The following is a 27,398-nucleotide window of genomic DNA, read 5'->3' as shown; positions in this document are numbered from 1 at the left end:
TGAAGATTGGGTATAAAACATGTGTTGGAGACCTGAGATAACCCAAGGTATTGAAGGCTCATAACTCATTGGAAGAACAGAATTTTATGAACCAGCTCCCTTGTGTATTCAGTGCCTTTCTCTTTTTCCATAGCATTGAGAAGTTCTGTGCAGAAGGCATCCCACTATTGGGAATTCTGGTCCAGTCAAGACATTTGAGAACAGTGGTTCATGTCCTGGATAAGATTCTGCCTTTATTTTACCCTTGCCAGTATTACCTTCTGAAGAATGAGCAGTAAGTGTGTTCCATCTATGGCAGGAGACACTCTTAAACAGTCCAGCAAGTACAAATGATTGTGTCTTCTGGTTTCTTAAGTAAAATAAAGGGAATGCTATTTCAACAGCGTATTATGGGGCAAAAATATTCTGCACCCCAGTTTAGAATGCAGGTTGATGAACAGTGATTCTAATAATGACTCCAGTTTTATTACCATGAAAGATATTTTTCCTTTTCATTTATTATAACTTTGAATTGCTTATTAAAGCTTAATAGTATATGAAGGAGCAGTTGTTTCCCTGAGATTCTGGGAATCGTGCTTCTGATATTAAGCAGCAAATGGTTTGCCATTGTAACAATAGAAAAGATTGTTTTAAATTGTTTACAGTGCACATAGTGCAGTGTTGCAAACAGATAAGATGCTAGGAAGGTGGGAAGAGAACAACCTGTCTAGGGAGGCAAGAGTAAAGCATCTGGCTGGGGCCTCATGAACAGTGATGAAAGGGGAGGTGAGGCCTCACCCCATATGGAGGAACCCTGTACAGTGGGGACATGAAGTACATCCAAAGGCACAAGGGGAGCATTACAGTTTTCCTGTTATGTGTCTTTTCAAGCAGTATGTCTCCAATTTGCCCAAAAGAGCTTATTAAATATGGATTCCCAGGTTTCTCCCCCGGAGATGTTACTTTAGTAGAAATGGGTTAGGTCCTGGGAACTACTCACCTAACCCTTCAACCCCTTTTTAAGAATCAGCACCCTGGGTATGAGGCAAGTTTGGAAACTGAATGGTTTGGAAACATCTCTGCCTTTATTCATGGAGTTGGGGAGTGAGGAGGGGAGAGTGGTGCCTTTGGGTGTTTTTCCTCTAATGCTGTTTAACTTGCATGTGTTTGTGTGTCGTGGATCTGTTCTTAATACCTCTGTGGGTAGATAGAATTCCTTTTAACCCATGTTAAATGTGAAAACTTTATTCTTCTAGAATCCCTTCTTAAATAGTGCTTTGGTCGAAAAATGGGACCAATTTAGGAATTTTCTGTTTCCTCATAAGTAATTAGGGAAAATTCTGTTGAGTTCTGATCGGAAGGTAAAGTGCGTCCTCCTGTGTGCTTGGCAGGTTTTTATCGCATCTCCTCTTGTTCCTACACTTGGACAGCGGTGTCCCTCAGGGTGTCACACAACAGGTCACCCACAAGGTGGCACAGCACCTGACAGGAGCCAGCCATGGGGACAACGTGAAGCTTCTCAACAGCATGATCCAGGTGAGGGCCTTGCAAGCCCCTAAGCACACTCCCGCCTGTCTTCCCAACCAAGACCTCTAGCGTTAGCACACTTAGGTTTTAGTCATTTCAGATCACTTGGCTTAGTGTGCTTTTGGCCAAGAAAGGCAATAGATTTGGGATTTGTAGTGGAGGTAGATAGCATTTTGTTGCTATTTAAAAAATGAGAGGCTGGTTGTTATCTTTCCCATCACATGAGCCTTTTCTCCACAGGCACACATATCTGTAAGCACTCAGCCCAATGAAGTGGGCCCCGTTGCTGTGTTGGAGTTCTGGGTTCAGGCTCTCATAAGCCAGCATCTCTGGTACCGAGAACAACCTATCCTCTTCCTCATGGACCACTTGTGTAAAGCAGCTTTTCAGCTGATGCAGGAAGACTGCATACAGAAATTACTCTACCAACAACATAAGGTAATTAACCTGTTAGAGAATTTATCTTTCAGTGATTGGCTAGATAAAGTAGCTTTCTAAAAAGATTCCCCCAAGTACAGTTTTCAGTTCTACTCTGTGGCCATTACCTTCTTTAAGCTTTGCCTTAATGGTACCTTATCCCGATAATCGTAGTCCACTAGCGTAGACCCTAGGGAAGTTGGAAAGGACAGCCCAGGAAGAGTCCCGCTTGTTACATTTGGCTGTAATGCTCTGCCTTGGACTATTGCTGCTGGTGGACTCATCCTTGAAATCTCTGTCTTATCAGAATCTTGTATTGTAGTAAGACAGTTGCTGATACTCTTGTAAAGGTCATTGATAAGATTTTCCTTAAAACCTCCTCTCTCTGCTCCACATCTCCCGGTGTAGAATGCCTTGGGTTACCACTGTGACCGGAGTCTGCTCTCATCTTTGGTAAGCTGGATTGTGGCAGGCAACATCACTCCTTCCTTTGTGGAGGGCTTGGCCACGCCCACTCAGGTAGGAAACTCACTGAGAGGATCATTTGTTATCTTTGTGAACTTTAATCTCATGATCATCCTTACAAAGAAATTACTAATTGTCTAAACTAACTTTTATTTAGCACTTATTCTAGTGTAAGTATACTTTTTCATTTAATCTTTACAGTAGCCCTTTGGTGAGGTTGTGCTGTTGCCATTCCTGTTTTACAGAGGAGTTAACTGAGTTTTTTATTTTTATTTTTATTTTTTTTGAGATGGAGTTTTGCTCTTGTTGCCCAGGCTGGAGTGCAATGGCGCGATCTCAGCTCACTGCAACCTCTGCCTCCCGGGTTCAAGCTATTCCCCTGCCACAGCCTCCCGAGTAGCTGGGATTACAGGCATGCGCCACCACGCCCAGCTAACCTTGTATTTTTAGTAGAGTCAGGGTTTCTCCATGTTGGTCAGGCTGGTCTCGAACTCCTCACCTCAGGTGATCCGCCCACCTCGGCCTCCCAAAGTGCTGGGATTACAGGTGTGAGCCACCGCGCCCTGCCTGAGTTGTTTCTTTTTTTTTTTTTTTAAATTAAAAAACATTTTTGGATACAGGGCCTCACTTTGTTGCCCAGGCTGGTCTCAATCTCCTGTTGTTAAGTGATTCTCCTGCTCCCAGCCTCCCTAGTATTTGGGGACTACAGGCACACTACTGTGTCTAGCTGTAACTGAGGTTCAGTGGAATTAAGGACTGTCTCAGGAGTAGACAGCTCTTGATCATACCGCAGCCAGCCGGACTGCAGAGACTGCCCAGCAGCACTGCAGAGAGGTTTAGAGTGGTCACTGGAACCAGACAGTCTGGGTTTCAATCTGGTTTCTGCCGTTTGTTAGCTCTGTGCCTTGGGCAGCTTGCCTACCTATCTGTCCTCAGTTTTCTCAATTGTCAAATGGGAATAATGATGGCACCTATATGTAAAGCATTTAGAACAGTGCTTCGCACATAACCAGTGCTCACTGAGTGTTGGCCATTGTTATTATTATCATCAGCAGCAGCATTATTTTTATCATTACCACCTCTTAGACTTTGTGTATAAAATTATGTCTGTTTCATCTCTTAAATCAGTAGTAATGTTCTTCAACCTCTTATTTGTCTTACTTCTTGCTCTTCTTCCCACCTCTCATGGATTGAGCTGGAACAAACTCCTTGCTGTTACCTAGACACATCCCGGGCTTTTCCTCTTTTTGTCTCTGCCTAGCGGATTCTCTTACCAGCATGCCTTTCCCTCTGACATCTACATAGAACCTTCTCTGATATAGCACTTTACCTTGACTCAGTCCTCGTCACTGCTCAACTTCACATTTTGCTTACTTATATATTAGTCTTGTCTACTCCAGTAGATGGAAGACTTCTTAAAGACAGAGCCCCTGTCTGGTCCTCTTTCCTGTCTCTCTTGCACACAGATCTTGCCTGGTAAATATGGAGTTAATGAACATCTTGTACTAAAGTAGCCTTTCCAAAGGAATGTAACATTTTCCAATGATCTATTTTATTTAAATTTATATCTGCGACAAGGATATAGGTAGGTATAAAAAGGTGTTAATTTTAGAAACTGCAAATATTTGCTGATTGAGCTTGAGATAGGAAGAGATTTAAATTGTGGAATATCAGGATGTATTTCGTCAGTGGGGCGAGCTCCTCCTTCCCCTCCCCTTTATCTGGTGTCATTATAGGTCTGGTTTGCCTGGACAGTGCTCAACATGGAATCCATCTTTGAAGAGGACTCCCAGCTCCGGAGAGTTATTGAAGGGGAATTGGTGATAAACTCTGCTTTCACCCCTGACCAAGCTCTGAAGGTACAAATAGCAGTTCTGCATTTGAGTGGTAGAAGGTGGCTTACACTTTGATGCTGATGGATTCACCCGTAGCTTTTGAGCTTTTGTGTTTTATTTTGTTGTGAATGTTTGGAAAGCTCAACAACCAAACCAATACTTAAAACTGTGTAATTGAAGAGTACTTGCTTCTCAAGGTTTGTTTAACAAGAGTCTCAGCCTAGTATTTGAAGGCTGGATCATTGCACATGTGACGGGTGTTGTCATTGCATCCCACGTACATCAGAATTCCCTGGAGAACTTGTTAAAAAGCAGATTCCTAGACCTCATCTTCTGGGATTTGGAGTCTCTGAGTCTCGAGTGGGACAAGGAGGTTATTTTTTGAAACTCCTAGCTGATTCTTAGGCTTACTAATATGTGGGAAAGACTGGAATAAGGCTTTAAAGACCTTCTATTTTAGTATAGATTTTGCTTTTGGGTTTCAGAGCCTGTTAAAGAATTTGCTTTTGGGTTTCAGAGCCTCTCAAAGAATTCAGCATTCTCGAATGTCCTTTTGAAATCTGAATTTTCAAAAGATTGATAAAGTTTGACAGTCACATAGTGACATTTTCTTTTTTTCTTTTTCTTTTTTTTTTTTTTGAGACAGAGTCTTGCCCTGTCGCCCGGGCTGGAATTTTACAATGGCACAATCTCAGCTCACTGCAACCTCCACCTTCCGGGTTCAAGCAATTCTCATGCCTCAGCCTCCCGAGTAGCTGGGATTACAGGAGTGCACCACCACACCCAGCTAATTTTTCTATTTTTAGTAGAGACAAGGTTTTGCCGTGTTGGCCAGGCTGGTCTTGAACTCTTGACCTGAAGTGATCCACCTGCTTTGGCCTCCCAAAGTGCTGGGATTACAGGTGTGAGCCACTGTCCCCGGCTTTACTTTTGGTTTTCATATCTTTCTATTCCCTTGCACTATAACGTTGTATTCGCCAAGGAATTTCAGAAATGAAAATGAGGTTAGACTAGATGACTCTTAAGACCCATACCCATTTTGGGGTCTGTGAAGTGTTTTGACAGAATAAAAAGCTGCCCTACATGTCTTGCTACCAAGGAGGTTAAAATGTTAACTAGTGGATTGGAGAAGTGAGTTTTATGTGACTTTTAAAAAATATATTATTGAATTGAAAACAGAATGTTTGGTGTTTCAGTTGGATCACTTAGAAAGAGTTAACCGTTTGCATTTATGTTCATTTTGTGGCTACTCAAAGCCCTTTCTTTTTTGTAGAAAGCCCAGACCCAGCTGAAGCTCCCCATCGTGCCATCCCTCCAGAGGCTGCTGATTTATCGCTGGGCCCACCAGGCTCTGGTCACACCTTCTGATCACCCCCTCCTGCCACTCATTTGGCAGAAGTTCTTCCTTCTGTATCTTCACCGTCCGGGACCACAGTATGGGTATGCTGCCCAGTATTGTAGGTTTCTGTGAGTCCATTTCTGCCTTTGCACTGCTCTCATTCTATGTGTTCTTAGACTGTGGAGTGTGAGTTGGAATCATTCTTTGGTGATCTCTGGTGAGGACTCTTTCTCTGTCTCTATGTTTGACATTTATTAGACTGGATCTTTATTGAGTTGCTGGTGTCTTGTGGCAGCTTCTCTTTACCATCTTCCATGACCAGTGTAGTAAAGACAACACCCTGGGATTGGGCAAGGTTTCACACAGAACTTCTGGAGATGCAAAGGGAGAGCAACTGCCTTAAACTGAGGCTGCCTGTGTGACCGTCATGGGGCTTGTAGGAGGGGACCTTGTGATGAGTGGTGCGCGTGTGAACAAAGGCCAGGCTTTGTCTGTCACCTGTAGGTTGTACTTGGGAATATTCAGCATTTTCATGGGATTCATATGAAGATACTCCACCCAGCCAGAGCCATCCACTATTACGAACCATTGCTCTCTAGCTCCTGCCTCAATTCCTCATTCCCTTAACTTACTCATTTGAAATATATAGATACTGGCTGGGCATGGTGGCTCACACCTGTAATCCCAGCACTTTGGGAGGCCAAGGAGGGAGGATCACTTGAGGTCAAGAGTTCGAGACAAGCCTGGCCAACATGGTGAAACTCTGTCTCTACTAAAAATAGAAAACTTGGCCCAGCACGGCCAGGCGCGGTGGCTCACGCCTGTAATCCCAGCACTTTGGGAGGCCGAGGCGGGTGGATCATGAGATCAGGAGATCAAGACCATCCTGGCTAACATGGTGAAACCCCGTCTCTACTAAAAAAAAAAATACAAAAAAATTAGCCAGGCGTGGTGGCGGGTGCCTGCAGTCCCAGCTACTTAGGAGGCTGAGGCAGGAGAATGGTGTGAACCCAGGAGGCGGAGCTTGCAGTGAGCTGTGATCACGCCAGTGCACTCCAGCCTGGGTGACAGAGCAAGAGTCTGTCTAAAAAAAAAAAAAAACAACCCAGCGCAGTGGCGCATGCTTGTAATCCCAGCTACTTGGGAGGCTGAGGCAGGAGAGTCAGGAGAGTCGCCAGGAGGTGGAGGTTGCAGTGAGCAGTGATTATGCCACTGCACTCCAGCCTGGGTGACAGAGCGAGACTCTGTCTCAAAAAAAAAATGTATATATATATATATATGTGTGTGTGTGTGTGTGTGTGTGTGTGTGTGTATAGATAGATAGATAGATAGATAGATTCTTAGTCGCTTCTGTTTTAGTTTTTGCCAGATTGCAAGTTCTTCAAGAATAGAAACCATCTTTATGCTGTACCTCTAAGTAGTGATGTCTTAAATTTGTGTAGCATTTCACACTTTTTAAAACTACTTTCATATACACCATCTTGTTGGACCATCAAAATAATCTTTGAGGTAGAAATAATAGGTGTTAATTTAATGGTGTATATCCACAATCACAGTAAATTGCCTTGCTAATTAACTGCTATTTTATGCCATACAGAAAGTACATCTTGTGTTGAAAGGTTATAGATCTGTGCTTGTGTTTTTTAAGGTTACCCATAGATGGTTGTATTGGAAGAAGGTTTTTTCAAAGTCCTGCTCATATCAATTTGTTGAAAGAAATGAAGAGACGTTTGACCGAGGTGGCTGACTTCCACCATGCTGCAAGCAAGGCCCTCCGTGTTCCAGCAGAGGGCAGTGAAGGGCTGCCAGAGAGCCACTCTGGCACCCCTGGTTACCTGACTTCACCAGAACTGCACAAGGAGCTGGTGAGGTGAGTATGGTTATTTAGCCACCTACATTGTTGTTTGCAGCACAGGTACTATGCTGGAGCAGTTAACTGTGTTACAAACTGCTAGATGTTATTCTCTTAACACGGTTAGATTGAATATGGAAGGTGGCTTTGATATAGATTTGCATCTTGAAATGTTTCTCTTTTATGTTCCTCAAGAGAACTGAATCAACAGTTTGGATGTACTTGTGTCGAGTGCCTGTAGTCTGAGCGATAAATCCTCTTCTACTTCTTTACGTAAAAATAGAAATAAGCCAAATTTTATCATAGCAGGTAAACAACTATTAAAGCCTGCTAGACAGCCTGGGCAACATAGTGAGACCCTATCTCTACAAAAAATAAAAAAAAAATTAGCCAAGCCTGGTGGCGTGCACCTGTGGTCCCAGCTACTTGGGAGGCTGAGGTGGGAGGATCCCTTAAGCCCAGGAGGTCAAGGCTGCAATGAGCCATAATCATGCCACTGTACTCCAGCCTGGGCAACAGAGTGAGACTCTGTTACAAAAAAACCTTGCTAGAATAGTTCTTTTTTTAAGAAGGAGTGTCTCACTATGTTGCCCAGGCTGGAATGCAGTGGCTATTCATAGGCACGATTATAGTGAGACGATCATAGTGCACCTCAGCCCCAAACTCCTGGGCTCACGTGATCCTCCTGAGCAGTTGAGACTACAGGTGTGTGCCACCACACGTAGCTTAGAATAGCTCTTCAAAAGAAACAAATGACCAGGGCAGGGCTCTTTAAGTGTGGTTCATAGATCCTTCACGGGATTCAGGGATCCACCTGAGATGAGGGGTCTAGTAATCTCCCAAAAATATGTGCCCTATAAAATCAGGGTACAATATTTGCCTCCTCTAAAAGGTTAAGAACTCTGAAGTAGGTTTGGATTCCTTTCACACTATTCCTTCCCCTTTCATTTATAAGTTTGATATAAATCAAATACTAGTCTTACAAATAAGACTTAATAAAAATGGCTCTTAAGAATTAATCCTCAATACACAATAGCTAGGTGAGGTCCCCATTTCATCTAGCACTGAGGCCTTAGGTTTATTTGCCCTCAACCTTTTACGACTCTCTGTCAGCCTCCAGAATGATTTCTTCCCTTATGTTGCTTGTTGAAGGAGAACTTATTTTTAACCAGCCTTAACCAGTGGACGGCTTTCTCTGTGAATATTTTAGATAAGCCAAGAGAGTCTTTGATATTCCTTTCTGCCTCTGTTATATCCCCCTCCTGGTATGTGTTCATAAAGTGGCCATCTATTTCACTGAGCCAGAAGCTGGAGGAGAGAACTACTTAGCAACCTCTTCCCTGTAAGAACCCCAAAGCCCTGTCCTTGTCTGTCTTCCTGGACTGGCTGTTGCAGAGGTAAAGGAGGTAATTTTCCACTTTATTGAGTAAAGTCAGGCCAGACCATCTCCCAGTCCCCTACCCAGTAATTTGTGTATTTGCCGACTATTTTTCTAGCACTGCTGGTAAAAACAAAAGCAAAATAAAAATGAAGGAAGTATTGTATTTTTAAAAGGTTTTTACTGGAAAATTGGAATTTTTTTTTTTTTTTGAGGCAGAGTCTTGCTCTGTCACCCAGGCTGAAGTGCAGTGGCACAATCTTGGCTCACTGCAACCTCTGCCTTCCGGGTTCAAGTGATTCTCCTGCCTCAGCCTCCTGAGTAGCTGGGATTACAGGTGTGCACCACCACACCCGGCTCATTTTTGTATTTTTAGTAGAGACAAGCTTTCACCATGTTGGTCAGGCTTATCTCGAACTCCTGACCTTGTGATCCGCCCGCCTTGGCCTTCCAAAGTACTGGAATTATAGGCATGAGCCACTGCGCCCAGCCAGAACTTTTATTTTTTTAAGTCTGATTTGATTTTATTCCTTCTTGATGAGAGGGGCGTACACACATGCTGTGATATTTATTTGCGATTCTCTGAGGTGGGAGATGGTTCTTGAGCCTAAAGCTGGAAAATTCCTACAATGCATAAGTTTAAAATAGCTCTTAATATTTTCTCTGAAAATGTTTTTATTTGAATGTATTATTTTTGCTTTTCTAAGCAAAAATAACTGACTGAATTGCCTAGGAAAGAAAAGCTCCAGATTCAGATCCCAGGTCTGTGGTAAAAATCATCTTTTCCAGTTATTTTTTTCTGTGTACTGTATTTAAATCTACTTTAAGAATTGTTGTCAGAGCCCCTTCTTCATACCTTTTGTTTTAGCAATTATCGCATCATATTTGAATAATCTGTGACGTGCCTCCCCTGCTGGACCAGGAGTTCTCTGGGAGCCGTGGTGGTTGTTGGCCACATTTTCTGTATTATGGGCTTTCTTTACTCTTATGTAGGGGTGCCAGTGTTCCTAGAGATGTAAGAAGCTTTGTTTGTATGCTCATCTTTTTATGTTTCGTATAATTATGTTTTTATCTTTTAGGCTCTTCAATGTATATATATTATGGCTAGAAGATGAGAATTTTCAAAAAGGAGATACCTATATCCCTTCTCTACCAAAGCATTATGATATTCACAGGCTAGCAAAAGTGATGCAGAATCAGCAGGTGAAATTATAGCCCTCCTTTTTTTTTTTTTTTTTTTAGCATATCTGAATGTAATTTGAACTGGTCATATTCATAATAAAACAATTTATTGATAAGAAAATGGGTAGTCACTCAGATGGTCATTGTTTCTATGGTTTTGTCAGTATCTAAGTGATTATATGGAGGGAATACTCCCTTTTGAATCTCCAGCCCCACCGTGCCTTCTACCTGAAGGCTTGAAGCTTGTTCTAGGGCTTTTTACGACCTCATAAACATAACCTTCCTCTGACTGTATATTTTTTTTAATTGGAAGTTGTTAGTAGCTGAATACCTTTAAGCAATTATCTCTACTCCCATTCTTACATGCAGTGTAAGAATTTGTAAGAATTTGTAGGGATCCATATGTGATGTGGGAGGTTGGTTGCATGGAGGAGATCAGGAGCTCACCTTTGTTTGGCTTGGAGGTGCTTACTTGTCATTGTCACAGTTCTGATTGCTCTTCTGGAACCACTTGATTTCAGTCTTCGTATGTCCTAAGCTGTTCTCCCCCAGGCACTCAAAGATGTCTGTGACCCTTTTTCAGGCCAAAACTTGTGATGTCAGTTTTCTCTAAGCTTTTCTAGCCATCTTGGGGACAGGGAAAAAGTGGGGAAGATAATTCTCTTCTATTCTAGTTCTTTTTTTTCTAGGGCTGCAGTCTTTTGAGTATTGACCCCAGCACCAGGATGGGATTTAGGAAACTCTAAGAGTTGAAACACTTTCATTTGGATCCTTAAACCCTCCTACTTTCACATCATGTGTATATTTTATCTCCAGTAGGTGTCTTTTTCTTGTTTTCTTTCCTTCATTCCTTGCCTTCTTTCTTCTTGCTTTCCTTGCCTTCTGTGTGTATTTACTGAGTGTCTTCTAAGTGCCAGGTACCGAAGATACAAAAAGAAATCTGATACATTCCCTGCCTCCTAAGAGCTTATTGGCCAACAGGAGACTAAACAAACAGTTATTACATTTTGTGATCAAGATTATGGGCCAGGTGCATGGCCCACGCCTGTAATCCCAACACTTTGGGAGGCCGAGGTGGGTAGATCACCTGAGGCCAGGAGTTCAAGACCAGCCTGGCCAACATGGCAAAACCCCATCTCTACTAAAAAATACAAAAATTAGCCGGGCATGGTGGTGGGCGCCTGTAATCCCATCGACTCAGGAGGCTGAGGCAGGAGAATCGCTTGAACCTGGGAGGTAGAGGTTGCAGTGAGCTGAGATTGCACCACTGCACTCCAGCCTGGGCAACAGAGAGAGAGACCCTGTCTTAAAAAAAAAAAAAAATTACGAGAGTGGAATGCACAGGGTACTATGGAAACATAGGGGAATAGCCCCTGATTTGGATTGGGCCTGGAGTGGTGACCTTTGAGCTGAGCCATGAAGGACAAATGGGAGTTGGGCAGATGGAAAGGAAAGGCATGGTGTTAGGGAGTGGCAGAGAGGATGTTAATGGGCAGAAAGACCAGTATGTGCAGCGACATATAGCAGGTGAGAAAGGGATGGGCATGTTCAGAAAGGTGCAGGGTAGGGCATAGCACCTGAGGCGGGGCAGATGAAACCAGAGAGATGAGTAGGAATGAAATCCCTAAGGGCCATGTATACTTTTCTAAATAATTTGGCTTGTATTTTGAAGTCTTTGTTTGGAGAACTATTGAAATAGCAGCAGTTATTAAACAAATGGATGAATTAAAAATATATCGAGGAAGAATCAGATACCCAAAGACTTCCAAATTTCTGACTTTGTCCCCCAGAGATAAACCCTGGAAGAGGGGGTGCCTGAGGGGCTTCAACGAGAGCTCTCTATCAAGGAGTTGGTCAGAAGGGGAGGTATATATCTAGAATTCAGGAATGAGGCAAAGTCGGATATGTGGATTTAGTGGTAAGAGAATATGTAGATTAAGAAGAGGACTGAAGATGGAACATTGAGAGATAACAGCATTTAACGCACAGAGAAATAAGACTGAGAGTATAGGGCCAGAGAAACAAGAAAAATACACATGAGACCATGGTGTCCTGACATCCTTTGAGTTCAGTTCCATCCTCATCTTTTTATGCTTGACACCCCTCATCCATATCCAAGGCTTTGTACATGGTAGGTACTTGGTCAGTGTTTTTAAAAATTAGCCATAGCTTTCTTGGTTCTCTGAGATTTATCCTGGTTCCTCAGCATCAACAGAATTAATTGCTTGCTTTCTCTCTCTTTTTCTTTTTAAGTCAGCCCTTGCTTGGTGCTTGATGTATAATTTCTTGATCTGTAATTCAAGCTCAGGGTTGTTTTGTATTTTTATGGTTTATAAGATGTCTCTGCTTACCTATCATTAATTCCTAGTAGTTGCTCTATTCATTAGCCTCTGTTAACAGTTACTTGGCATAAAGGCAGAGAAAGTGACAGAGTGACCCTATTTAAAGGAGCATGTATGCAATAGGAGGATCTAGCCCAGCACATTGAACACTCAGCTGCATGTAGAATTCAGGATTGTGATCAGGATTACATTGGAGCTCCTCCTCTGAGTCTGGAATGCCTTGGACTGTGAGGTTGGTTTGGAAATAATGAGTTGGGACTTCACAGCAGTATGCTTATTGAGAAGCCAAGGACATTTTTTGGTTTAGAGGGATCCTTGGGCCTTTAGAACACTTAAAATCCAAAAAAAATCACGGTCCACAAACCCATAGTCCCTGTTTGCTCACTTGCTATTACTATTTAAAGTTCATTGATAATTTGACTTTTTGTTGTTGTTGTTAAAGGCAGTCCCCCATTCTAAAGTGTAGTGATCACCAAAGTGAAATATATATAATTCAGAATATGCAAGACAGCCCATGGGAGTGTAGGGAGAGGTTACTAGAGCTACTATATTTATTGTTTTCTCATTTTATTTATTTACTTATTTGACACCTGTTATTATGAAAAAATTCCATTTTATAGGAAAATAGGGAGAGCAGTATAATGGGCATGCTCTTCTCCCCCTCCCCACATATGCCATGTGTCTAGTTTCATCTATAGCCCATCCACTTCCTCTTCCATTTTATCTTGGAGGTAATCCCAGAGAGCACTTGATGCATGAAGATTTTAAAAGATAGGGATAAAAAAATGACATAACCCAATAGCATACCTAAACATATTAGAAATAATTTTTTATATCAAATATTTAGTCAATGTTCAAGTTTCCACCTTTCTCATAAATGTCATAAAAGTTTTTTTTTTATTTATTTTCATAGTTTAAATCAGGATCCACATGTTGTGATTGGTTGATATGTCTTATAAGTCTGTTTAATCTACAAGTCCTCCCCTTATCCCTTTACTTTTCCTTGCAATTTATTTGTTGAAGAAACTGAGTAGTTTGTCCATAGAGGCTCCCCACAGTATGGATTTTGCTAATTGTATCTTCACGGTGTAGTTTAACATGTTTTTCTGTCCCCTGTATTTACTGTAAATTGATAGTTGGATTTAGTGTCTTGATCTAATTCAGATTTGATTATTTTTTAACATTTTATTTTTTACCTCTTTAACATTTGCTATTTTTTACCTATGTCTTATAGTATACATAATGTATTAGCTTTATAGTGTATGTATATAATTTACAAATATACATATAGGGCTGTTAAAATTTTTTCTAATCATGATACACAATCAAAAAAGTTTTACAGCTACTGCAGGGATTGTTAGAGTGGTCATTTTAATGGCAATTTATCCTAATGGTGGAGGACTTGGAGTAGACCACTTCGTGTTGAAACTTACTGGTTCACTTTATAGTTAAATACATAGTTTTATATGTGAATCTATGACTTGTCTGTCAGAGTTAAAGTACTGTCGTTCTGTTTCAGGATCTGTGGATGGAGTATTTGAACATGGAGCGCATCTATCATGAGTTTCAGGAGACTGTTGGTCTGTGGACACAGGCCAAGCTTGAGTCCCATTCCACACCCTGCAGTTTGTCCGTGCAGCTGGACTTCACTGATCCTTTGCTGGGTGGGTCCTGGGAGCACCTGCCCCTTCGAATGAGTGAATGAATGATTGAATCAGAGCCATTGAGGGTTGAGGCTGACATACTTTATTCCCCCAGTGTTCATTTTTCCTCTGGTGCTTTAAAAAGAGATTTCAGTTGACTTACACAATGGTGTAAATTGCAACTGTAAATGTAATTACTTTGCAGTTTTGAAAATCAGAAGTCTGTCTTTTTCTTTTATAAACTCTTTTCCTTTGTACCTAGAACCCTTACCATACAAATGAATCAGATTCCTGAAGTTTCTAAGTTACTTGTTTCTCCCAGTACATTTTTCTAGAGAAACAGTGGTATAAATTACCAGTTAGTTTTCTATCAGGCCACAAAAGCCCATTTAACCTATAAAGTTGCTGATATTTGGGGTAACCTATTAATTTTAATTACTGACTATATTTCAAAAATATAGGACATATCATTGTAAATTCAATTGTTGACCAAAATATTTATTACAATATATAGTGTAAGAAGACACTGAGGTGATTCAGAGAAATGCAGAATACCTTCTTATTCCAGCTTGCCACTAACCAAAACGCGTTAGTTGTATGAAGAGAGACAAATAAGAACTTCTCTGGACTTCACGCCATTCATCTGTAAAATGGTGCTGGCTGGTTTCTTCTAAGGCTCTAAAATTTTTCCCTCCAACATTTCCTCTCCCTGCACTTTTTCTTGAAACAATAATTTTTTTTCTGATTATAAAAGATATATATTAATTTTAAATATTAAATGATATAGAAAGGTATATAGAGAAAGGGATGAAAATTGCCCTCAAGCCAACAACGTAGATTCTCATTTTTCTATTCCTGAAAGTTTGTTAAGAAGAAGAAATATATGAACAGATCTGGGAACTATTAAATGATTTCCGTTCATGCCCTTCCATTCATAGTGTTTCTATGTTGCCTGAACACTGCCCTAAAATACGAATTGTTTTCGCTGGAGTTAAGCTAGTAATTTATGAAGCCCTTCGTTTGTTCCGAGCACTGTCTCAGTGCTTTATATGCATTAACTCAGTCCTCACAAAAACCCTATGTTGTTAGGTTATCCCTATTGAGCAGATAAGAAACCCAATTTGTAAGCTGTTAGGTGACCTGCCTGCATGGGCCACATAGCTGGTTATTGGGCAGAGCCGTCTGACTCCAGAGACCTGCTGTTCACCACTCATTATTCTACCTCTTGTGTCTGGTGATACCTTGTACTTCTAAACAAAATTAGGGCCTATACTTCTAAATAGTGAGTTTCAGGTTTTTCTCAGATATAAGAGATTAGTTGATGATTATATCAAATGATTTAATTTGTGGTTATGATTGGTTGTAGGAAAAATTTCACTAGCACCCTTGTGATAGCAATTTCTTTTTCTTAAACTAAATTTGTTTTATTGGCTTCAATATTTTTGTCAGTTGTGGTCCAGAGTGGTGATTACTGTTAAATATGAATTTAGATTTTTTGTTTGTTTGTTTTTAAAATACCTTGGTTTTTCTTTTATGGTAACTTATATTGGGTTTGAAAGAGCCCCCAGTTTTCCTTTAGCATCATGGCCTCTTATGTTGCTTGAAAGGAACTTTAACATAAATAGTAACAAGTCTTATCCAGTGGTGAATACCTAACTTGGTTACATCTGTGCAAAGAGTAGTTAGTTCTAGTGGAAAAACACTAACTATAAGGGATAGTGCTGTACTTGACCTATTTGAAATGTTGAATTCCATCTGTTTGGGGTACAAACAATACAAGTCTCCTTATGCCAAGTAAAGTCATGGCTATTAATTTTTCTTTAATTTTTCTCAACAAGAATAGAAAATGGAATGTTACATCTGGAATGTAATCGGAAATTCACTGTAGTCCCTTAAGTACTTGTTGACTTGACTTACTGACTTGAAATTCCCTTGACCACTGCCTTCCTCTGTTTCTTGCTATTGAAAAGAATTGGGTAGGTAGCAGCATTTTTCTTCATGTTATTCAGTCCCCACCTGCTGTGTGGTATGTGTATAGTGTGGTGAAGGGAGAGGGAGGGAAGATAGGAATCTATTGGATATCTACTGTGTATTCAGCTCTGTACTAAGTCTAGAAGTATCAAACATTTGAATTTGATTAAACAGTATGAGATCATGTGTAATCTAGGGCAAAGTTGCATGGTAGAGATTCACCTTTGTGTGTGTGTGTGTGTGTGTGTGTGTGTGTGGCACAGGATTGCTTATTTGGACTCCATAAATCATTTGTTGAGTGAATGAATAAATGACTGATGGACTATATGACTGCATAAATAGAAGTGCTGAAGGAGCTTATGCATATGTCTTCATTCATTTTATCTCTTACTGCATCCAGTCCTCCTGTTCAAACCTTGACCTGATTTCAGATTTTTGACTCGGCTATATTCCATAACGCTTATTCCTTTTTCTTCTATTCCTCTGAATTCTGGATGATGGCATTAAAACCTTAACTGGGTGACCTGCCTCCAGACCTACTCCATTTACCTAAACCATTATTCAGATGATAGCTACCATCTGATTCAAGCTTGCATAGAGGTGTTCACTAGATCCACGTGATATTAGCGTAAGGCACTAGATAGTAGCTTTACACTAATATCAAGTCCAAACTTGTTAGCATGTCATGCAAGGCCTGTCTAGGGTAATAATTTAAGATCATGAGCTTTAACTCTTCAACTATCGTAAGACTATAAATTTTTTGAGGATAGGAATTCTACTGAATTGTACCACATGCTTCTGTTCTCCTGCTAATTCACCTGATTGCTCAGTATATATGACTTAATTTTCTTTCAGCTAAAGAAAGGGTTTTAAGTAACTTGCGGAAGCATGAGGCTCCCCAGCCTCCCCTTGCTCTGCACCCGACGAAGCCTCCTGTGCCAGTTATTTCCTCTGCTGTGCTATTGAGTCAGAAGGACGCCACCCAGCTGGTGTGCACAGACCTGAATCTGTTGCAACAGCAGGCCAGGTAAGACCATGCAGCCTCACGGATCATGTTCCCATGTTGGTGGCTTTGACAGCCTGGATAATTTGCTACCTGGAGTGGCTTCCTTGTCAGCATTTTTACAATGAGGATAGTTTGACCAACCTGGCCCAGACGGTTCACTTGGTTAACCAAGTTGTGACAAGTCTTATAATTTCACATCGAAATTATGTGGTACTCTCACCAACTATCAATTTCACATTTCCTGTGGTGGCATTTCTGAGCATCAGCAGTGCCAGCTAAGATTTTCGTATGCTTCTCATGAAGAGATCTTCTGATATTGGAAAGATGATGTTGGAAAGGTGTGAAGTAAGAGTTCCTTTCTTTTCTCATTGCTGTACTCTCTACTTCTCCATATTCTTTAAGAAATTGACATAAATATTGATTGAAGTGTGGAAAAGTCATTGTTTTGAGTTCACAAGGTGGATACAATATGATCAACCATTTAAGGTTTTGATCTAACTTGAGATCTTGTGAGAAGGAGCGTACGTGGAGTAAGTCTGTTTCATTAACAGTAAGCGAGCCTTACTTTTACAAATCCTATGTGAATCAATTTCCTTTTTTTTTTTTTTTTTTGAGACAGAGTCTTGCTGTGTCGCCCAGGCTGGAGTGGTGCAGTGGCATGATCTCGGCTCACTGCAAACTCAGCCTCCCGAGTTCACGCCATTCTCCTGCCTCAGCCTCCCGAGTAGCTGGGACTATAGGCGCCCACTACCACGCCTGGCTAATTTTTTGTATTTTTAGTAGAGATGGGGTTTCACTGTGTTAGCCAGGATGGTTTCGATCTCCTGACCTCGTGATCCACCCGCCTCGGCCTCCCAAAGTGCTGGGATTACAGGCGTGAGCCACCACGCCAGGCCATGAATCAATTTCTTATCAGTATTTTTTTCCTTGTCTGTTTTTGGTCCAGGCATTTGTTGCGTGTGTGTTGAGTGCACATATAAGCACCTGCCCATTAATGTAATGATACATACCGTTAGACCAGTTTTGACACCCCATGTATGCGATTAGCTTTCTTGGTCTTTGACATTTCGTTTTGAGTTGCTAATACCTAAGAAGTCATTGGTACTTATAATTAAGGCACCCCTTGAGGGTGATGAAGTTAGGATAGAATTCTCAGTTGTTCTTGTAGGGTCTGTTGGTATAACATGGATTCTAAATGGAGCTTTGTTTGTGGCTATCAAGTTGTCTCACTTCTCTATAGGCTTTTCTTTCATTTCTTAGCTTTCTCTTTAGCCTCTCTGCTGGGGGATGATTTGGGTAAGTCTTGGCTCACAACCTTTGGTCCTCTGTTACTATGGTTTATGTGTCTTTTGCTGCACTATAATGCTGGCTGTGGGTAACTGGAAGCCTTTATCACCTATCATATAACCTTTCCTAAGACTTTCTTTTACCTCCTGATGATGTTTTTCAGAACCGCAGCTCTTCGGGAATCTCAGCAGGTTGCTCTGGATGGTGAGCTGTTAGACACAATGCCAAAGCAGTATGTGAATCGTGAAGAACAGACCACACTACATTTGGAGTGCAGAGGCAGCAGCGGTAAGAAATGCCAAGGAGCCGCAGTTGTCACGGTTCAGGTAAGTGTTTAAATTTCTTCAGAACTGAGAGAATTTTAATTGAGTCCGTAATGTTGGCTTATCAATGAGAAAGATTGAAAGACATATATAGCACACTGTCTGTGTCCCAAACATTTACTAGTTTTGCAGGGCATGAAAACACTCATAGAGCTAATCACACATTTTTGTAGGTACCAGATGAGTCCTATAAGACAGATATTCAAATAGGAATTAAAAAAAAATCAGAATCATTGAGAAGATTCCTAGAGAGAGGGCTTCAACTGATTCCTTTTTTTGTTTGTTTGTTTTTTGAAACGGAGTCCCCAGGCTGGAGTGCAGTGGCGCGATCTTGGCTCACTGCAACCTCCACCTCCCGGGTTCAAGTGATTCTCCTGCCCCAGCCTCCCGAGTAGCTGGGATTACAGGCACCTGCCACCACGCCCGGCTAATTTCTGTGTTTTTAGTAGAGATGGGATTTCACCATGTTGGTTAGGCTGGTCTTGAACTCCTGACCTGGTGATCCACCCGCCTCGGCCTCCCAAAGTGCTGGCATTACAGGCGTGAGCCACCGCGTCCGGTCTCAATTGATTAAAAGACTTTGGTGATGATACAGTTAGAAGGAATTTGGAAATGGAGTGGCCATGATGTCATTTAGGGGTCGGTGGCTAGGTCAGCCCGTTCCAAGTGTTTTGGGGGTGTTGGTGGGAATTCACATTGGAAAGCTTGGTGTGCACCATCATTGGGAACTCTGGCTGTCTGCTGCACATGGCAGGGAGCCCCTGAAGATGAACGTGGGAAGGATATATGGGAAGCAGATTAGTTGGGTGGAACTTGCTGACAGGCAGAGGAGAGACATGCAACAATGTGACTGAAACTTGAACTGCCTCTCAGAGTTACCTTCTTGCACTGGAATATAGGCAGAATTTGGATCTGCAATATGGTATGCACTTCACAATGGAAGCTTCGCTGAAGCTAGTGTGCCATAGCATTTACTTTATGCCAGGCCCTGTCTAAACACTTTAAATAAGTTATTTTATCCTCACAACAACTCTGCAAGGTGGCCTTTATCATATTATCTTCATTTCTCAGGTAAGGAAGTAGAGTCACAGAGAAGTTAATTAAGTTGCTCACCTGAAGTGCCACAGCCCGTAAGTGGCACAGCCAGAAAGGCCCAGGCAGTCCGGCTCCAGAGCCAGTGCTCTTTTTAAAGTAGAGATGGGGTTTTGTAGTAGAGATGGGATTTTGCCATGTTGCCCAGGCTGCTCTCAAACTAGTGGGCTCAAGCAATCTGCCTGTCTCGGACTCCCAAAGTGCTGGTATTGCAGGCCTGAGCCACCGCACCCGGCCAGCCTGTGTTCATTAATCACCGCACTGTATTCCTCCTTCGAGTGAAGTCAGTATTCCTTAAGCTGAAAGAGAAATGCTTGGAGATTAGCACTGCCTATTGTCTAAATCTGTCTACACACAAATGATTCTTTTTTGTTAGCTTTTGGAAATTGGAGAAAATTTATTTTACTCCCTCTTGTTTGTCTTTCAGAAATTTCCCTTCTTTTTTTGCTAATTTTCATTGTAACTATTCCAATGTCTCCATCAATTTCCTTGGGAGACTCTTTTCTACAAAATGTCTTCTCTGAAATAATCTTTTATATGTATTGTATTTTTCATTACTTTCAAAATGTGTCTCTGATTTTTCAACATAGTTGTATTTGTCTAAAGTTCAGAAATTTGACCTAAAAGTTAGGATGAGTCCAACTTATTTTCCCGTATGTTATTGTAAATATGTGCGACTCTTAAACATTGAGTTATCTTTGGCCAGGTGCTTTATACAGTTGGTTTTCTTTTGGTGTATTTTTTTCCCAGTTACTAATGCTGTTATAGTAAGACCAAGGTAGAAATATTTAAGAAAAGATCGCTTGCTGAAGTAATAAAACTGGGAGAAAAGTTTGCCAATTTTGGGTGGAGTTCGAGTTAGTGAGGAAAAAACTGAAAATGTATCCGGTTTTAATAAAAAAAGGGGTGTCTTCACCAATTTGTGTTTTTCCATATTTTAAAACTACATATCTTTGCCAGACTGTTAATTTTATATAGAGAAGAGAATTCTAAAATGCATTTTTATAAGTGACAAGTGAGATAACTATAAAGAAATGTTTTTCCAGTTCTGGCTGATGGCTTGCTCTGTGAAGAACTGTAAATATTTACTGCCTCAGCTAAAGAACAGGTCTCTTGCCCTGACCTCCTGTTAACTCTCTGGGCCTTGCAGTGGAAAATACCACCAGGCAGGCCAGGGAGCTGAAGCTCTAAGCCTACCTGTGACTTGTCTCTTTTCCTTTACAGAAAAAGGGATCATAGTATTATATTATTTGTCTGAACCCTTGAATTGAGATTTTAAACATAATCTTTTGCTTTGTTAATTCTGAAATAAAAAGAAACACCTTTTCTAAAATGTCTTCTAGGTAATTTTGATTGGAGGGAGGTCAGAGAAAAGATGATTTATGATAAGGACTGATGTGAACATGGCTTAGATGTTTTTACAAACATACCAAAGTTCTTGTGCTTTCTTTTCTTTAAAGAAAAGTTGGGCTGAGCGTGGTGGGTCACTCCTGTAATCCTAGCACTTTGGGAGGTTGAGGTGGGCAGATTGCTTGAGCTCAGGAGTTCAGCAGCCTGGGCAACATGGAGAAACTCTGTCTTTACAAAAAATATTATACAAAAATAAGCCGGGCATGGTGGCGCACGCCTGTGGTCCAAGCTACTTGGGTGGCTGAAGCAGGAGGATCACTTAACCGCAGGAGGTCCAGGCTGCAGTGAGCTGTGACTGTGCCACCGCACTCCAGCCTGGGCAACAGAGTGAGACCCTGTCTCAAGAAAAAAAAAGAAAAATTGGTAATTGCTAATATAGCTTGAAGAAAGAAGGGGGAAAAGTAATGAAGGAGAGAGGGAAAAAAGGAGATGTTGCAGAAGCGTAAAGAATTTGAAAAAATAGCTGTATTTTGTGGCCCTAACCTCATTAGAAATATTTAAGTTTTCTTAAAGCAGGTTTTACTTTTCTGCTGGCCTCACTCGTTTGCTTAGTGCCCTGACTTTTAGTCCCACTTGGGAAGTTCCACAAGCTTGAGATCCCTCACTGATGGCTCCTAGAAGTTCAGTATCAATAATAGTATCGACTGCAGCCAGTGTTTTGCCTGATAACGCAGATTTGCCAGGGCAATTAAAAACATGGACAGTGAACAACTTTTATAGGCGGAGACTTAAATAATCTTGAAAGTTATATAGTACTGTTGTTGCTAGTTGAGGCTATCCCAGGCGGTATTTGCTGGTTGATACTTCTAGGACTTGAAGATAAAAATATGTTTTGTTACACATTAATGGCAAAGGGCAAGATAGAGGAAAGCTGAAACTCTACCTGCTATGAAGTTGGGGAATTATCTATGCAAGTTGTTCGTTTTGCTCAGATTTTTGGCCAAAGATTGTACTTAAATATGAAGCCATCCAATACCCAAATGGATAATATTGGTTATGGATGACTTTAGTTTTGGAAAAAGAGGTGTTAATGGAGGATAGAGAGGGTGAGTTCTCAGTGTTTATGACTCATCATGAAACTGTCATTGGGAGAGAGTATGTCCTGCAAAAGGTAGGTTGTGTTATTTTTATACATAAAACTGTAGCCCTCTATATAGATGTGTCCAGTGACCACCTCATGGCTATGTTCAGTAGTTTTGATTCCTTTTAACATCTTTCTGTTGTGATATTGAACTTTATGTAGTCACATCTTTTCCCTCTGAATCTCTAAGCACTTCTCAGTTTCCAGGGTTTCTTCCTCCTCAACTCAAACCCTTAAATTGCTAGTTATCCTGATTCTCTTCTTCATATGACATCATCTTCTTTTGCCTACTGTCTGTGCTGGAGTTCTTAATCTGGGGTCTGTGAATGGTCTTTAGAGAATTGGTGAAGTTCCTGAAAGTGTGCATAAATTTTTTTTTCTGGAGAGTGTATAACTCCAATAGATCTCAGAATAGTTCAAAACGAACAAAAGAGCTATTTACTCATATGTTGATAATCCTGTTCTGTTTCTCTAGTCCAGAATTCTCTCTTGAGTTCCAAATCTAGATTTCCACCTGCCTCATTCTACCTGAATGTTCCACAAATACCTCAAACTCCATATTCCCAAATTAATCTCACCTTTACCTTCCAAATCTCTTCTTCCTATAATTTCACATAGCTGGTCTCCCAAGCTGGAAACTTAGGCATCAATATCATCACTTCCAGTTACCCTACCCTACTTCATTCCTGTATTTTCCAAAGTTGCTTCCATATTGGTTCTGCCTCTGAAATGGCTTTCTGAAGCCCGTGACATTCCCTTCTCTGTGTTTCTGTTGCCATTTCTCCATGGTATGCACACCTCGCTTCTCCCTTGACCTGTTGCATTAATTAGATTTCCTGTCCATATCTCTCTCCCTGCCTAGTCTGTTTTCCATTCTCTCATTACTCATCTTTTGAAACATAGATCTGATCACATTTTCAGGCTAAAAACCCATATTTACTTGGCAGTATCAAAAGGAATATGACCCTTAGCGCCCTTCATAATCTGTTATTGATCTTTTTCTAGCAGCATCATTTATCCTCTCTCCCACTTCACAGACATTTTACTTTTCAGCCATTTAGACTTTCTGCATTTTTCTAAACACAACATACACATTAATACCTTTGTTCTTCGCATATGCTGCTTTTGTTCTCCTCCCACCCATTTCTGACCTCTTTCTTGCTCAGCCTTCAGTATTTAGTTCAGGCCAAACCTCTTTTGAAGTCTTTGCGGACTCTTGCAGTCGAATTGAGATGTTCTTTCCCTCATTGCAGCTTGTGCCTAAATGCTGTTGCAGTCACTTGCTGTTTTGTCCTGCCAGACTGAACTCTTTGGGAATAAGGTTTCCATCTTTATTTGTTTTTAATATTATTATTATTATTATTATTATTTTGAGGCAGAGTTTTGCTCTTGTCACCCATGCTAGAGTGCAGTGGCACTCACTGCATCCTCCGCCTCCTGGGTTCAAACAATTCTCCTGCCTCAGCCTCCTGAGTAGCCGGGATTACAGGCAGGTGCCACCGTGCCCAGCTAATTTTTGTATTTTTAGTAGCGATGAGGTTTCACCATGTTGGCCAGGCTGGTCTTGAACTGCTGACCTCAGGTGATCCACCCATCTCGGCCTCCCAAAGTGCTAGGATTACAGGTGTAAGCCACCATGCCTGGCCTGTTTTAATTTTTTTAGTACACCTCTGCTGAAAGGAAGCATCCTTATTTGTAACACACCACTCATTAGGCTGTGTTACAACTTATTTTGTGTTATGATTAGTTCTATGCTGTTACTAGATTTTGAGTTACACAAGGTCAGGGACTTTGTCTTATTCATGTTTGTATCATCAGTGCCTCATACAGTCAGTGCTGCAAAATGGATGTGTTTGAAGGAATGAACAGCTCTAGATTTATGCCCTTCATAAGTAAGTTCCCTGATTTTAACTACTTTGGGGAATTTTGTGGATATTGTTTGGCCATGACAGACATCATGGAAATTGGAACTTTTTCTTATTAAAAATTAACAGTTCATTCCTTGATTGTGCTTACCTTTGCTTTTAAACAACTTAATACTTTCCATACTTAAATACTCAACTTAAATACTATACACTGCTTACTGTATATTTTTACTCTAGTGTAAATGTCTCCCAAATATTCAGTCTTGGGAAGCAGTAAGGATGGTTGCACTGTCTTTCCCAGCCATGTTCACAGTACTTTTTGTCACTTGCTTGGGGCACTCTCATGTCCCTGGTATTATGCTAGGTGCTTTGCTTTCATTATCCAACTTAACTTTTTTTTTTTTTTTAGACAGAGTCTCACTCTGTCGCCCAGGCTGGAGTGCAGTGGTGCGATCTTGGCTCACTGCAACCTCCACCTCCCAGGTTCAAATGATTCTCTCTGAGGAGCTGGGACTACAGGGTCACAACACCATGCCCAGCTAATTTTTGTATTTTTAGTAGAGATGGAGTTTAATCATGTTGGCCAGGCTGGTCTTGACCTCCTGACCTCAAGTGAACCACCCACCTTGGCCTCCCAAAGTGCTGGGATTACAGATGTGAGGCACTGTGCCTAGTTTATCCAACTTAATCTTCACAGAATGAGGATGAGTTCAGAGAAACAGGTTCAGAGACACTGTGAGACTTGCCAAAGTCACATAGCTAGTGAGTAGCTCCATCAGGATTCAAGCCTGCATATGTCTAAATTCAAGACCCCTACTTTTCCCATTCAATATTGCCAGGTCGTTTTGCTTCAGCTGTTTCAGCTGCAGCTTCTGAATACTTGCAGTGTGATTCTGAGCAAGCTGATCATGACAGTTAAATCTCATGTAAATGAATATAGGTACCATTTCATTTTCTCTCTGAGTCTGTATAATAGTATTGCCTTCTTTTTTCAGTGATTAGAGAATTTGTGATCTTAACATTCTAGATTAGATCAGTTTTTAAAAATTAGCTTTATGGGAAATGACTTCAGATTTTAAATATAATTTTGAATGACTCCTTTATAAAGAGTTCAAATTATATCATGAAAATATTTTATTCCTTAATAGATTTTTTCTGGGAAAGAATGTCCTGGAAATTTCCAGCTATCTGCAAGCGTCTGAGCTATGGATAGCTTGTTTGGGGTATACAAAGGCAAATATATTTTATGGGAAGTGAGACATGCTTCTTTCTGTGTTCTCTCTTCCCAGTAGAAGGCTCTAACAATTCAGTGATGTTCCCTGGGGAAATGGGGTGATTTATAATTGGGTTCCTTTTGATGTACTTTGGTATTGTGGGTATGCTTGCTGACCCCAGGATTGATTTATTATCATGTGAAAAATTTGTTAATTCCAAGAAATGAACGATGGAAAAGACCCACTGAGGGCCTCACATTATTGTAAAAACTGGCTGAAGGACATGCTTTGTCCAACTTTTAAATTTAGACAAGGAAACTTTTAAATTTCTGTGTCCACTTAAAATGACTCAAGTGGAGGGGCTTCCACCATGCTACTTTGTTCTATTGTCTACTACTTCTTGTAATTATGAACTGATAGACATTCCATTGCTCTCACCTTCATTGCAGTAAAAAAAGAAAACTTTCAACAGTAGTGGGAACAATAAACAAAAATAAGTAGACTAGAAAATAATAATAATTTGGGGATGTTTTTTGTGAGAGGGTCTAAACTTGCCTAAACCACCTGGTTTTATTTTAGTAGTTTCTACAACATGGAATGGCAGTTGTAAAGTTTGGATTACAGAGTAGTTTTAGTCCTGTCTGCATTTTTCCAGTCAAGTGGTCTCTGGATCCTTTGCCTTTCCACCTCCCTTCATTCTGTGTCTTCCTTCCTTATCTCAGATTCTCTCTTTTCCTGTTTGGCTCCTGTCTCTCCAGGCCAGCCAGGGGATTCTGTGACACGCATAGTCCCGGTCTAACTGTATTTGGTGATGTATTGAACAAAAAGGCTGACTGCAGATACTCCTAATCACATTTTAGGATATTAAACATTGGTCTGTTATTTGAAAGATTTCAAATTTAATTCAGATACTTGTATTGATTTATTATCTAATTAAATGCAAGTAATTTCTTTTTTAATCTTTCATTTCTCCAATAGTAAAAGTTAATTATTGTTAACATTATATGTTCTAGAATATTCACTTTTGTGCATTTTGATGTCACAGAGCTTTTTTCTTTTTTAAAGAAGTTTTGTAAAGATTTTTAATACATTAATGAGTTTTATACAAGAAAGTTATTATTATCACAGTCATAAAAAATAGTTGCTCAGTGTATTGTCAGAGTTATGCTGTGCTGGGGTTCTGGGTAAGTAAAACAAATAGGAAGGACCATTGCCCTTCAGGAACTTTTTTTTTTTTTTTTTTTTTGAGACGGAGTCTCACGCTGTCGCCCAGGTTGGAGTGCAGTGGCATGATCTCAGCTCACTGGAACCTCTGCCTCCTAGGTTCAAGCAATTCTCCTGCCTCAGCCTCCTGAGTAGCCAGGATTACAGGTGCCTGCCACCACACCCAGTTAATTTTTGTATTTTTAGTAGAGACGGGGTTTCACCACGTTGGCCAGGCATGTCTCGAACTCCTGACCTCAAGTGATCCGCGCACCTCGGCCTCCCAAAGTGCTGGGATTACAGGTGTGAGCCACCATGCCTGGCCGCCCTTCAGGAACTTTTATACAGAATTTATGATAATAACCCTGGGCCTCATAAGTGACATAAGAGCCTCAGGTAATAAGTTTGTGAATTATTTACATTATTTATAAAGGATATCTTTAATCATTGCAGTGATGGCTGAAGACTGGGTTTGGGCAGGTGCATGTAAGGAAAAAATGTAGACCTTACTGCTCACCCATGTGTTTGGGGAAGACAGGAGGAGAATGTAGAGTTTAGAACTCTTGCCTTCTAAATGTTATGGTCTCTTCAGCTGTACCTGTAAGTCCAGACTCCCCGGCCTGCATTTCAAAGCCTCTCCAAGAGGGCTCTCTCAGCTCCCCAGTCTGATTTTACTGCACTCTGCAACCCTGGCCAGGCTCCTCCTTCCTGTATCTCTGTCCCATATCCCCCACAGCTGTCATGTCAGTTCTGTGTTTGTGTTGCAATCTGGGCCCAGGATGTCTTCTCTTTTCTTCTGCCTCTATCCACATCCAAAAAATGACATTAAAATTGCATAAACAAACCAGTTATGTATGTCACTATCAGTCAGAGAAAGGGTTTGTTGATGGCTTCTCAAATAAGAAAGGCTAATCTTAAAAAAGGATAATCTTTTGAGTTGAAAAAAATTTAGTTTTTTTTTAAAGAAGCTCAATAAATTCTCCTTGT

The 27,398-nt window shown here is 40.8% G+C and overlaps 1 protein-coding gene across 21 annotated transcripts in view, besides 2 other annotated features; it reads left to right on the top strand.

Annotated features, from left to right (window-relative positions):
- EPG5 (ectopic P-granules 5 autophagy tethering factor) overlaps positions 1 to 27,398 on the top strand; it is a 166,749-nt gene that overhangs the window by 49,377 nt on the left and 89,974 nt on the right. For 9 of the 21 annotated variants that reach the window (XM_047437704.1, XM_047437703.1, XM_047437701.1 and 6 more), the window contains 11 exons: positions 134 to 274; positions 1,371 to 1,515; positions 1,747 to 1,944; positions 2,332 to 2,442; positions 4,125 to 4,247; positions 5,497 to 5,690; positions 7,211 to 7,432; positions 9,872 to 9,995; positions 13,836 to 13,980; positions 16,786 to 16,957; positions 18,387 to 18,549. In XM_047437704.1, the coding sequence (XP_047293660.1) occupies positions 134 to 274; positions 1,371 to 1,515; positions 1,747 to 1,944; positions 2,332 to 2,442; positions 4,125 to 4,247; positions 5,497 to 5,690; positions 7,211 to 7,432; positions 9,872 to 9,995; positions 13,836 to 13,980; positions 16,786 to 16,957; positions 18,387 to 18,549 (1,738 nt within the window). The remainder of the gene's footprint in view (positions 1 to 133; positions 275 to 1,370; positions 1,516 to 1,746; positions 1,945 to 2,331; positions 2,443 to 4,124; positions 4,248 to 5,496; positions 5,691 to 7,210; positions 7,433 to 9,871; positions 9,996 to 13,835; positions 13,981 to 16,785; positions 16,958 to 18,386; positions 18,550 to 27,398) is intronic. The other 12 variants (XM_047437706.1, NM_001410858.1, NM_001410859.1 and 9 more) reach the window with 3 other exon arrangements.
- Positions 18,563 to 19,762: an enhancer, noted in NCBI's record as "BRD4-independent group 4 enhancer chr18:43478156-43479355 (GRCh37/hg19 assembly coordinates)". NCBI's record gives its function as "activates an origin of replication core promoter dependent on BRD2, P300/CBP, MED14 and CDK7 cofactors, and independent of BRD4, by STARR-seq in HCT116 cells {active_cell/tissue: HCT116}" and the evidence as "EXISTENCE:reporter gene assay evidence [ECO:0000049][PMID:35650434]".
- Positions 20,595 to 20,889: an enhancer, noted in NCBI's record as "tiled region #10800; HepG2 Activating DNase matched - State 8:EnhW". NCBI's record gives its function as "activates a minimal TATA promoter and a strong SV40 promoter by Sharpr-MPRA in HepG2 cells {active_cell/tissue: HepG2}" and the evidence as "EXISTENCE:reporter gene assay evidence [ECO:0000049][PMID:27701403]".

The sequence above is a fragment of the Homo sapiens genome, chromosome 18 (assembly GCF_000001405.40).
Source record: "Homo sapiens chromosome 18, GRCh38.p14 Primary Assembly".
In the NCBI taxonomy this organism is placed as follows: domain Eukaryota; kingdom Metazoa; phylum Chordata; class Mammalia; order Primates; family Hominidae; genus Homo; species Homo sapiens.
The sequence above is the reverse complement of the archived record's forward strand: the minus strand, read 5'-3'. Positions and strand labels throughout refer to the sequence as shown.